General features: G+C 48.8%; 1 pseudogene, besides 3 other annotated features; it reads left to right on the top strand.

The window, feature by feature from the left end:
* Positions 1,715-1,764: a silencer, noted in NCBI's record as "silent region_13742". NCBI's record gives its function as "represses an Ori minimal core promoter by ATAC-STARR-seq in GM12878 lymphoblastoid cells {active_cell/tissue: GM12878}" and the evidence as "EXISTENCE:reporter gene assay evidence [ECO:0000049][PMID:35858748]".
* On the top strand, positions 9,849-10,209 carry COX5BP7 (cytochrome c oxidase subunit 5B pseudogene 7; annotated as a pseudogene).
* Positions 12,413-12,562: an enhancer, noted in NCBI's record as "active region_19032". NCBI's record gives its function as "activates an Ori minimal core promoter by ATAC-STARR-seq in GM12878 lymphoblastoid cells {active_cell/tissue: GM12878}" and the evidence as "EXISTENCE:reporter gene assay evidence [ECO:0000049][PMID:35858748]".
* Positions 12,573-12,672: an enhancer, noted in NCBI's record as "active region_19031". NCBI's record gives its function as "activates an Ori minimal core promoter by ATAC-STARR-seq in GM12878 lymphoblastoid cells {active_cell/tissue: GM12878}" and the evidence as "EXISTENCE:reporter gene assay evidence [ECO:0000049][PMID:35858748]".

Below are 12,675 nucleotides of genomic sequence, written 5' to 3'. Positions count from 1 at the left end.
TTACAATGGCTGAGCTGCAGCTCAGAGGCCAGACAGTGGTGTCCCCACTGTGCTGAAGAAAGAGCTTCAGCCCCTGGCAATGCCTGGGGTTTAGGTCCCAGGTCTGCTGGTCACCGGCCATAATCTCGGACAAGTCTTTCCCTTCGCTGAGACCCCAGATGGACAGAGAATTCACTGAGGTGACGGGAACAGGAAACTGCGGGTGTCTCTGGGTGAGGCCATCACCATGGTCCGTAGTGTGTCATCAGAGGCCTGGAAGTGCTTCTGGCACCTTTTATCTGCTTCTCCCCAAGAGTCCTTTATTCCAGAACCTTGGAGGGGTGAGCATCGCAGGTCTCTGCAACGGCAGATTCCGGATCGCAGGACTGTCATGGGGCTAACGCTCACCTACTGTGTGTTCAGCCAAGCTTAGCACACACATCTGAACGTTGAGACAGGTGGTCAGAGCCAAGGGCAAGTCCTGGGAGCACGTCTGCATTTCAGTGCATCATGGGCTGCAGGACAGAGGCTAGGCTGGAGCAGGCAGGGCTGATGGTGGGGAGAAGAGTTAAACAGTCTGTTGTAGCCATGCAGGTGGAAGGGGATGGTGGCCGCAACTGTGGACATGTCAGTGAAAGAGAAACAGATAGACTGGGGATAGGTTTAGGTGGTGGAAGCGTCAAGATGTGGCCACTGAATTGATGAAAGTGAGGGATCAAGAATATGCCTGGGACCTGGCACAATGGCTCATGCCTATAATCCCAGCACTTGGGGAGGCTGAGGTGAGCGGATCACCTGAGGTCAGGAGTTTGAGACCAGCCTGACCTATATGGTGAAACCCTGTCTCTACTAAAAATGCAAAAATTAGCCGGGCACCTATAATCACAGCTACTCTGGAGGCTGAGGCAGGAGAATCTCTTGAACCCAAGAGGTGGAGGTTGCAGTGAGCCAAGATCGCCACTGCACTCCAGCCTGGAGACTCCATCTCGAAAAAAAAAAAAAGGGGGGGAGGGGGATATTGGACACAAACACATGCTGTGAGATGACTGTGTGAAGACAGAGATGCCATCCATAAGCCAGGAAGAGAGGCCTACATCAGAGCCTTCTCTCCAAGCTCAGAAGGAACCAACCCTGCTGACCTTTGATCCTGGACTTCAGCCTCCACAACTGTGAAAGGATACATTTCTGTTGTTTAAGCTTCCTGGTCTGTGGGAGCTTATTATGGCAGCCGTAGCAAGCTGATGCAGCGTCCATGAGAACAGAGTCTAAGGCAGGGACTTGGGTGCAGGTAGTTTATTTGGGAGGGGGTTCTAGGAAGCAAGAGTGGAGACAGGGCCAGGGGAGGAGGGAAAGCCAGGGTAAGGGCACATTATTGAGGTGGGTGCTGTGGGAACAGGAGTTTGATTCCACCTGGACTTTCGGGGAAGGGTTCGAAACGCCTCCCGAAATTGTCCGTCCAACTGGGGATAGGAATCTATAGCCACTCTCCCATCCTTCCCATCCCATTACTGAAGCTGCTCTGGCGTGTTGACTTCGTGCACTTCTCAGCTGGGTCCATGCAGAGGCCAAGGCACCCCCACCTGGCATCCAAATTACCCACTAGGCAGAAAGTGAAGACTGGACCCTGGCCATGGCTAAAGGCAGAGATGAGGATGGCAGGGTGAGAGCTGAGCAAGTGGAAACACCTGGCAGAGGAAGGCGTGGCCGGGCTGGTTTCACTGAGTTCAGAGTGTGTGTGGGTTGGCAGTACAGGCAGCTCTAACACAGTGTCATACACCAGAACACAGATATTCATTTCTCACAGTTCTGGGGGCCGGGAAGTCCAAGACCAAGATGCCGGCAGATACAGTATCTGGCGAGGGTCACCTTCTCACTGTGTCTTTACCTGGCAGAGAGAGGATGCTTTGATGTCTCTTTCTTTTCTTCTAAGAATGCTAATACCATCATGGGGGCCCCACCCTCATGGCCTCAAGTAAATCTAAAGACCTCTCAAAGGCCCCACCTCCAAATAACGTCACACTGGGGCCTAAGGCTTCAACATAAGAATTTGCGGTGGGTGATGAGAGGGTGGACACACACACAGACATTCAGTCCATGATACAGGTGTTGAGGTAGAGTGGTCCCACAAGCAGTTCACAAACAGTTCTGAAGCTTAGGGGAGAAAAACACATTTGGTAGAATCGTGCAGTGGCACGATTTCAGCTCACTGCAACTCCACCTCCCGGGTTCATGCCATTCTCCTGCCTCAGCCTCCTGAGTAGCTGGGACTACAGGTGCCTGCCACCACACCCAGCTAATTTTTTGTATCTTTTTTAGTAGGGACGGGATTTCACCATGTTAGCCAGGATGGCCTCAATCTCCTGACCTCGTGATCCACCCGCCTGGGACTCCCAAAGTGCTGGGATTACAGGCACAAGCCACTGTGCCCAGCCTTTTTTTTTTTTTTTTTTTGAGACGGAATCTCCCTCTGTCATCCAGGCTGAAGTGCAATGGCGTGATCTCGGCTCACTACAACCTCTGCCTTCCAGGTTCAAGCGATTCTCCCGCCTCAGCCTCCTGAGTAGCTGGAATTACAGGCACGCACCACCATGCCTGTATTTTTAGTAGAGACGGGGTTTTACCATGTTGGTCAGGCTAGTCTCTAACTTCAGACGTCGTGATCCACCCGCCTCAGCCTCCCAAAGTGCTGGGAATACAGGTGTGACCACTGCGCCCACCCTGTTTTTTTTGAGACAGAGTCTTGCTCTGTTGCCCAGGCTGGAGTGCAGTGGCACGATCTTGGCTCACTGCAACCTCTGCCTCCCAGGTTCAAGCAATTCTCTGCCTGAGCCTCCCTAGTAGCTGGGATTACAGGCGCATGCCACCACGCCCGGCTAATTTTTGTATTTTTAGTAGAGAGATGGTTTCACCATCTTGGCCAGACTGGTCTTGAACTCCTGACCTCATGATCCACCCACCTTGGCCTCCCAAAGTTCTGGGATTACAGGCGTGAGCCACTGTGCCTGGCCTAAACTTTTTATTATGAAAAAATTCAAACATGCAGAAGTAGAGGCAGCAATATAAAGACCCTCATGCGCCACTCACCCAGACTCCACCATCCTCAGTGCTACCCCACACTTGCTGGGATGCAGATGCTGGGGCCTGGGCACATAGTGGTAGATAAAGCCACGGGTGGGGGAAGGGTCAGAGGAGGAAGAAGGCGATGTGCCTGTGTTTGGTGGTGGGTAGATTTATGCATGCCTGCCCCCAAGACCAAGGGAGGCAAGAGACCAAAGACAGAGGCTGACAAATCCAGTTTCTGAGAAAGAAACATTTAATGGGGACTTAAGAACAGAGGCCGTGTCTCCGGCAGCTGAGAGATGGCAGATCCCCGTAGCCGCCCTCCAGAAAGTGTTCTTTATATAGCAAGCTTTTAGGGTGAAACGTGTAGCTGGTCATGTCTTCAGACTTTGTTGTCAAGACTCATGAGCACTGGGGAGGCTGGATAAGCATCTTTACGAGGGGTCATCTGTGCGATGGGCATTGTTTAAAGACCTTGCTGCAGGACACATTGTTATGCAAGGGTCAGACACCAGTCCTCCTGGCGGTTACGCTTCAAGGTGGCGTCACTCTTGCTGTTTTCCTATAGCACGCTCGTGTATGTGTGTGCGCACGCATGCACGCACATGTGTATGCTCATAGGTGGTAACATGAGGGCTGATTCTGCCTCGTCCTAGTTTCCTGCACTGGGGGTAGAGTCTGGCTCTAGTCGATTGCTGGCAACTCCTTGGTGGCTCCCTTTAGGAAGTGGAGCACTCAGGGCCGGGCGCAGTGGCTCATGCCTGTAATCCCAGCACTTTGGGAGGCCGAGGCGGGAGGATCACCTGTGGTCCGGAGTTTGAGACCAGCCTGGCCAACTTGGGGAAACCCCGTCTTTACTAAAAATATAAAAATTAGACAGGCATAGTGGCGTGCACCTGTAATCCCAGCTACTTGGGAGGCTGAGGCAGGAGAATCACTTGAGCCTGTGAGGCGGAGCTTGCAGTGAGCCGAGATTTTGACACTGTACTCCAACCTGGGTAACAGAACGAGACTCTGTCTCAAAAAATAAATAAATAAAATAAAATAAAATAAAAAGTGGGGCACTCAGCATGCTTTGTCTTTAGCTTTAAGCCTTAACCCAAGTTCTGAATCCCCAAGAACATGTCATGGCTGGGTGTGGTGGCTCAAGCCTGTAATCCCAGCACTTTGGGAGGCCAAAGCAGGTGGATCACTTAAGGCCTGGAGTTGGAAAGCAGCCTGGGCAACATAGCGAGACCCCGTCTCTATGAAAAATGAGAAAAAATTAGCTGGGTGTGGTGGCACCTCTAGTCCCAGCTACATGGGAGGCTGAAGCAGGAGGATTGCTTGAGTCCAGGAGGTCATGACTGTAGTGAGCTATGATCATGCCATTGCACTCCAGCCCAGGTGACAGAGTGAGATCCTGTCTCAAAGGAAAAAACGAAAAACAAGAAAAGTCTCAGAATTGCCCTGGTACACGTGCTCAGTATAGCTCTTGTGTATGTTGTTACCTGCATGCTGACAACGACTCTCTGAGGTAGGTACTATTGTTGCACCTGTTTCTGTGAGTGGAGACAAGTGGTTAGAGAGGCTGCGGTTAGTTACTCAAGGCTACATGGCTAGGACGTAGCAGAGCAGAGACTTGAACCTGTATCTGGCACCAGACACCTCATGACTAATCCTTCTACAGCAGTTCTCAAACTTTTTGGTTGCTGAATCCATATACATTCTTAAAAACTGTTAAGAACCCCAGAGAGCTTTTGTGTATGTGGGTTATAGCTATCAATATTTATCATATTAGAGGCCAGGTGCAGTGGCTCACGCCTGTAATCCCATCACTTTGGGAGGCCGAGGCAGGTGGATCACCTGAGGTCAAGAGTTTGAGACCAGCCTGACCAACATGGTGAAACCCCATGTCTACTAAAAATACAAAAATTAGCCAGGCGTGGTGGCAGGCGCCTGTAATCCCAGCTACTTGGGAGGCTGAGCCAGGAGATTCACTTGAACCCAGGAGGTGGAGGTTGCAGTGAGCCGAGATCCCACCACTGCACTCCAGCCTGGGCGACAAGATCGAGACTCTCTCCAAAAAAAAAAAAAAAAAAAAAAGTAATGGCTTCATTATTTTTTAATGAATTAGATATTTTTAAATTTCTCATATATATATATATATATATATATATATATATATATATATATATATATATATATGGTTTTTGTTTTGTTTTTTTTTTGGAGACAGCCTTGCTCTGTTGCCCAGGCTGGAGTGCGGTGGCGTGATCTCGGCTGCAAACTCTGCCTCCTGGATTCAAGCCATTCTCCTGCCTCAGCCTCCCGAGTAGCTGGGAATACAGGTGCCCACCACCACACCCAGCTAATTTTTGTGTTTTTAGTAGAGATGGGGTTTCGCCATGTTGGCCAGGCTGGTCTCAAACTCCCGACCTCAGGTGATCCACCTGAGCCTCCCAAAGTGCTGGGATTACAGATGTGAGCCACCGCACTGGGCCTGAAGCCATTACCTATTAACATAAGTAACACATTTTATGAAAAATATATTTTCCAAAACAGAAAGATTCAGTGAGGAGAGTTGGCGTTGCTTTACTCCCCGCCGTGTCCCCCCCACGCCCCGTTGCCTCTTTTTTGTTTGGCTTAATAGTTAGGTGGATTATCATATCTCCTGCGTAAAAACCTGTTGCAGTATTGCATGGCATGCAGCCTCTGGAAAATTCCGCAGTTCGTTGTGAGAACATGAGAGCGGGAAGACAACATCTTAAACATGATGATGAGAACCGTGGACCTTACAGGCCCTGAAAAGGCTGGGGGCACACTTGGAAGCCACCGTCTTCTTCCCTGTAGCTCGCCTGGGCAGGTGGCCACAGCTAGCCATCTGAGGCCGGTCCGTGGTCCATTCCTGGAAGGCGTGGCTTCTGGCCGGTGCCCCGGGAGAGCTCATTGCGTGGAGATCCCCTGTCAGCGCCCCGCTTCACAGTCCCCCACGCTTCACCGTCCACCTCCCAGCTTCACTGCCCTCCCCCGCCCCCCTCCCCGACCCCCTCCGCACCCCCCCATCCCTGGCCGCTTCACTGTTCAGTCCGGATGCCTCCTGGAAAGAAAAGCCATACAGCACGAAGGAAAGCAGGCGCGGGAAAGTTCCTGTGAAGCTGGAGGGGAGGGGGCAAGAGAGAAAAGCTGCAGAAGGAAAGAGGAAGGAATGCAGGCACTAGGGGAGAGGAGGGGACGGCGGTCGCTGGGGTCAGGGGAAGGCGGACGCCTCTTCCACTGTCCTGAGAGGGAGGAGGCACAGAGGAAGCAGGCCCCAAGGGCCGGGTGCCATGAGAGGGAGAGGGAGAGGAAGAGCAGCACCCCAAGAAGGTGGAGCAGGGGAGGGAGGCCGCCCGGCTGGCCTGGGGTGGGGCAGGTGCAGCCTTCCCGGCTCCCCAAATTGCCCAGCTGTCCTGAAAATAAATCCCATGGGAAAGCGGGGAAGAAGCTGCCCCACCCCCGGACCCCCAGGACCTCCCTGTCCTCCTCTTGACTGCACCTTTGGGCCCTGCCTTTTAGATGGAATCCGATGGCTCTGAGCCCCGCCTGCCCCTGCACCCCCTGCCTCCTTCCTCCTTGTGCTCCTCTGCTGGCCTCCTCCAGTGGCTTCGGTGCTTTCTCACCTCACTGGATCCGTTCTTATTAATTAATTTATTTATTTATTGAGGCAGAATATTACTCTGGTTGCCCCTGCTGGAGTGCAGTGGTACCATTTGCGCTCACTGCGGCCTTGAGCTCCTGGGCTCAGGTGATCCTCCCACGTCAGCCTCCCAAGTAGCTGGGACTACAGGTGCCCACCACCACGCTGGCTAGTTTTTTGTATTTTTGGTAGAGATGGGGATTCACCATGTTGCCCGGGCTGGTCTCAAACTCCTGAGCTCAAGCGATCTGCCCGCTTCAGCCTCCCAAGTGCTGGGATTACAGGTGTGAGCCATCTCGCCTGGCCTCACCGGGTCCATTCTGACTTTGGGAGGGTGTGGTGGGATTTGGGTCCCTGCCCACCACAGACAGGGGGTGGGAATCTTTCAAGGAAGCCATGTGGCTGGGGGGATGCGGGGAGGTCTCCTCTGGAGAAGGAGGGCCAGGTTCCGGTTGATGGCCAGGCCAGGGCAGTCAGGCCAGCGGGAGTGCAGGCCATCGTCCCTGCCTTGCTGGAGGGAGAGCACTTTGCCAGAGAGGAAGAGCCTATGCCTCTCACCTGTCCATTTGGGGGCTCACTTTTCCCCTGTCTGTCTGATCATCCAGCTGACACTGTGCATGTCCGGTTCACCTGGGGTTGTAAGGTGAACAAATGCATGGCCATCCTCAGAAGGCCTGCTTCTGTCTGGTTTTGGCCTCTGGCTTTGAGGCTTCAGTTACTTGCAGGTGATCTTAATTTTAAGTAAAAATGGCCGGGCGCTGTGGCTCACGCCTGTTAGCCCAGCACTTTGGGAGGCCGAGGTGGGCGGATCACGAGGTCAGGAGATCAAGACCAATCCTGGCTAACACGGTGAAACCCTGTCTCTACTAAAAATACAAAAAATTAGCCAGGCGTGGTGGCGGGTGCCTATAGTCCCAGCTACTCAGGAGGCTGAGGCAGGAGAATGGTGTGAACCCGGGAGGCCGAGCTTGCAGTGAGCCGAGATGGCGCCACTGCACTCCAGCCTGGGCGACAGAGTGAGACTCCGTCTCAAAAAAAAAAAAAAAATTTTAAGTAATAAAACAGATTTTTTAATAGTTGCTTTATTCAAGATATTTTTGTGTATGGAGAGGAATACTCATTAACATTGGTACTTTATTGCTCAATTTATTCAAGTAATATAACTCTGAAAATCAATTTTCCTTAAGCATTTAAACATTATTAATTTGATTAATTATAAATCTAGTATTATAAATCTAGACTGATTCTTTTGAACACTCCAGACATCTTAACTAGCAGGCCAGACACACACAAATACAGTATTTCAGATTGATCGAGATGGCGGGATCTGAGCAATCTAATGATTGATTCTTTACAGAGTTGCACAAACCAAGGAGATTTAAACGGAGACCTTTCATCGTCAGGCCGTGTCTCTTTAAATCATGATAACAATGTTTATTTGTGGCATCCGGGACTAAGTTTCTTTTTGTCATAGAGGTGCTACTGGGGTACCTGTCAGAGTGGAGGAAAATGATGTGCAGCCACTAGAGGGCCCCTGAAATTTATTCTTTATATTTATTTATTTATTTTTAACTTTTACAAAATAGAGCTGCGGTCTCTCCATGTTGCTCAGGCTGGTCTCAAACTCCTGGCCTCAAGCGATCCTCCAACCTCTACCTCCCAAAGTGCTGGGATTACAGGCGTGAGCCACTGTGCCCAGCCTAAAATTGATTCTTCTTCTTAGTTATTATTATTTTTGGTGGCAGAGCAGAAAAGCATTTCTAAGTATATAAATACCTCTGACTTGACTTTTTACATCATCCTACCTAAATATGTTGTTGTTTTACTGACCACTAAGAATTTCTCTATATTACACACACGCACACACACACACACACAATCTCTTTCTCTCTCTCACTTAAATGAACAAATGAAAATATATTGTGTATAATTTCTTTTTTTGAATGCAGTTTATTTCATTTTGGCTTTTTTCTTTCTTCCTTTCTTTCTTTCTTTTCTTTTTTTTGAGACGGAGTCTCACTCTGTCACCCAGGCTGGAGTGCAGTGGTGCCATCTTGGCTCACTGCAACCTCCACCACCCGGGTTCAAGCAATTCTCCTGCCTCAGCCTCCTGAGTAGCTGGGATTACAGGCGTGCACCACCACACCCGGCTAATTTTTGTATTTTTAGTAGAGATAGGGTTTCACCATCTTGGCCAGACTGGTCTCAAACTCCTGACCTCCACCCGCCTCAGCCTCCCAAAGTGCTGGGATTATACATGTGAGCCACCTTGCCCGGCCTTCTTTTTGGTTTACTGCTCCCTGCTCCCCACATCCCTTGTTTCTTCTCTCCCACTTCACACGGCTCTTCAGATAACTCATGTAAATGATCTTGGAATACAAGAAATATTCTCCATGATCATAGAATTTCAAAGGAACATAGGTACTTGTGCATGAGCATATGTAGGTTTTTTCATTGTTTTATAAAAACAACATCACGTGATGTATTAGGATTCTCTAGAGGGCCAGAACTAATAGGATCTATCTATCTATCTGTCGATCTATCTATCTATCTAATAAGATCTATCTATCTATCTATCTATCTATCTATCTATCTAAAGGGGAGTTTATTAAGGAGTATTAACTCACACAATCACAAGGTCCCACAATAGTCCATCTGCAAGCTAAAGAGTAAGAAAGCCAGTCCAAGTCCCAAAGCTGAAGAACTTGGAGTCTGATGTTCGAGGGCAGGAAGCATCCAGCATGAGAGAAAGATGTAGGCTAAGAGGCTAAGCCAGTCTGGACTTTTCACGTTATTCTGCCTGCTTTATATTCTGGCCTCACTGGCAGCTGATTAAATGGTGCCCACCCAGATTAAAGGTGGGTCTGCCTTTCCCAGCCCACTGACTCAAATGTTAATCTCCTTTGGCAGCACCCTTACAGACACACCCAGGATCAGTACTTTACATCCTTCAATCCCATCAAGTTGACTCTTAGTATTAACCATCACACATGATTATACACATCATTCTGTCCCTTTTCTCAATAATTTCTTGTAGAAATTTTGGCTGCATACTAGTCAATGGTGTGAATGTACCATAAATTACACATTCATCCACCAGTGGGAATTCACTTTATTTCCAATTTATTTACCCTGCAAACAGCATCGCACTACTGATGACAAGCAGGCAACTGCGTTGGAGAGGGAGGTCATCATGGCTGCAAGGAAGGGACCGGACCCATATAATATACTACCCCTAAAGGCAGCTTCAGGCACCAAAGAAGACCCTAATTTAGTCCTCTCCATCACCAACAAGAGAAGAGTGGGCTGCATCTGCGTAGAGGACAACAGTACCATCACCTGCTTTGGGCTGCACAAAGGCGAGACCCAGTGATGCCCCAGCTATGGAACCCATTACAAGCTGGTGCCCCGCCAGCTGACGTACTGAGCACCTGCACCAAGTTACCCAAAATGTGCTGCAAAGTTTCTTCTTTCCAATAAAGAGTAGCCATTGCATTGGCTCCTTCTCCCATTAAAAAAAAAAGAAGAAAGGGCCGGGCGCGGTGGCTCATGCCTGTAATCCCAGCACTTTGGGAAGGCGAGGTGAGTGGATCACCTGAGGTCAGGAGTTTGAGACCAGCCTGACCAACATGGAGAAACCCCGTCTCTGCTAAAAATACAAAATTAGCCGGGCTTGGTGGCGCATGCCTGTAATCCCAGATACTCAGGAGGCTGAGGCAGGAGAATCGCTTGAACCCAGGAGGCAGAGGTTGTGGTGAGCAGAGATCGCACCATTGCACTTCAACCTGGGCAACAAGAGTGAAATTCCTTCTCAAAAAAAAAAAAAAAGAAAGAAAGAAAGAAAGAAAGAAAAGAAAAAAGGCCAGGCATGGTGGCTTATGCCTGTAATCCCACATCTTTGGGAGGGCGAGGCAGGAGGATTATTTGAGCCCAGGAGTTCTAGACCAGCCTGGCCAACATAGTGAGACCCTAACTATTTAAAAAAAAAAAAAGTCACATGCAGATTTTTTTTTTTTTTTTTTGAGACAGAGTTGCCCAAGCTGGAGTGTAGTGGGATAGTCTTGGCTCATTGCAACCTCTGCCTCCCGGGTTCAAGTGATTCTCCTGCTTCAGCTTCCCGAGTAGCTGGGATTACAGGCACACGCCACCACACCTGGCTAATTTTTGTATTTTTAGTAGAGATGGGGTATCACCATGTTGACCAGGCTGGTCTGAAACTCCTGACCTCAAGCGATCCGCCTGCCTTGGCTTCCTAAAGTGTTAGGATTACAGGTGTGAGCCACCATGCCTGGCCTAGTTGTCTATTTGTATCTTTTCCCATACAGACATTTTAGATTTTATGTAATCAAATAGATCTATATTTTTGTTGAAGGTCTCTGGATTCTCTCTTTTAATTATAAGGATTTTCCTAATTTCTGTTTTGTACATGTCTTCTGGATTTTTTTCTAAGATTTTAATTTTTTACATTGAAGCTCTGAGCCATCTGGAATTTATTTTTGCATATGGTATGAAAAAGGACTCAATTTTCTTCCAGATGGATAGCCAGTTGTGCCAGCACCATTTATTAAGCAGTCCAGAGTGTCCACCGAAATTAAGGCTATTGAGGCAGAAATAATTTGATAAAGGTTTATTGGAAGCCAAATGTGATGATCGACCCAGGAAGACACACCAACAAGGTTGGGGGTATTTCAGAGTCTGTCACAAGGTTTTTTTTAGGAAAGTTTAAAAGAAGGAAGGGGGAGCTGGGCGCAGTGGCTCATGCCTGTAATCCCAACAATTTGGGAGGCCGAGGTGGGTGGATCACCTGAGGTCAGGAGTTTGAGACCAACTTGACCAACATGGTGAAACCCTGTCGCTACTAAAAATACAAAAAAAAAAAAAAAAAAATTAGCCAGGCATGGTGGTGCATGCCTGTAATCCCAGCTACTTGGGAGGCTGAGGCAGGAAAATCGCTTGAACCCAGGAGGTGGAGGTTGCGGTGAGCCGAGATTGTGCCACAGTACCACAGCCTGGGTGTCATGAGCAAAAATATATCTCAAAAACAACAACAACAACAACAAAAAACAATGGAGGGGGACTCCTTTCCTTAGAGGGTACAACACAGAGGTTACCATCACCATCATGGGGTACAGATGACATCATACAGGATAAGAATGCCTACACACAAGACAATCAGTCGAACTTCAGACTTCAGCTCACCTTAAAAGAAATCAGTGTCCTATTTAGTGTCTGCAGGTTACACACTGATCAGTACATCAATCATTTGAGAAATTTATGATAAGATTCTTTAGTTGGAGACGCAATGTTACCATCGAGTCAAAAGACTGTTGCAGAACCCCAAAGGGTAGGTTTGAGTACCTGACACGCTGTAAGCCAAGCACTGACATGTGGGCGCTTAGGAGCAGAGAAAGGTTTATTCAATTTGGCCACGGCCTGAGGATGGGAGACCCAAACTCTCGAATCTGACCTTCCTTTGTAAGGTGGGTAGGGCGGGAGGTGAGATTCCCCCATGATCAAAGCTGTTTGCGTCCCTTCGTCAATCAAACTTCTGGACATCGCCAAGGAGGTCGCATGACCTCAGGATCTTCATTCTTCAGAAGCAAAACAAGTTCATGAATCTTGCAGGCAGCCTCCAGGGGGCAGAATGTGACGTTAATCAATTACTAGTGAATTGGTGAACACCCTCTACTTCAATGACCACATGTGGAGGAAGAAAAGAACAGAGAAGAAAATAAGTAACCAACATCTTATGGTTGTTATAGCATAGGCTGGGTTACAGCTCCCAAGGTGGATTGCTTTGGAAGCCTGCTTACTGTTGAACATGACTTGAAGGTTATCAACAGTTATTCATTCAATTACTCATGAATTTTCTGGGCAGCGGGTGGGGGATTCCCCGAACTGAGGACTCTTTCCCGTTTCGGACCATACAGGGTAATGTATAGATGTTGCCATGGCATTTGTAAAACTGTCAAGTCACT

This window comes from Homo sapiens, chromosome 22 (assembly GCF_000001405.40).
Source record: "Homo sapiens chromosome 22, GRCh38.p14 Primary Assembly".
Lineage (NCBI taxonomy): Eukaryota > Metazoa > Chordata > Mammalia > Primates > Hominidae > Homo > Homo sapiens.
The sequence above is the reverse complement of the archived record's forward strand: the minus strand, read 5'-3'. Positions and strand labels throughout refer to the sequence as shown.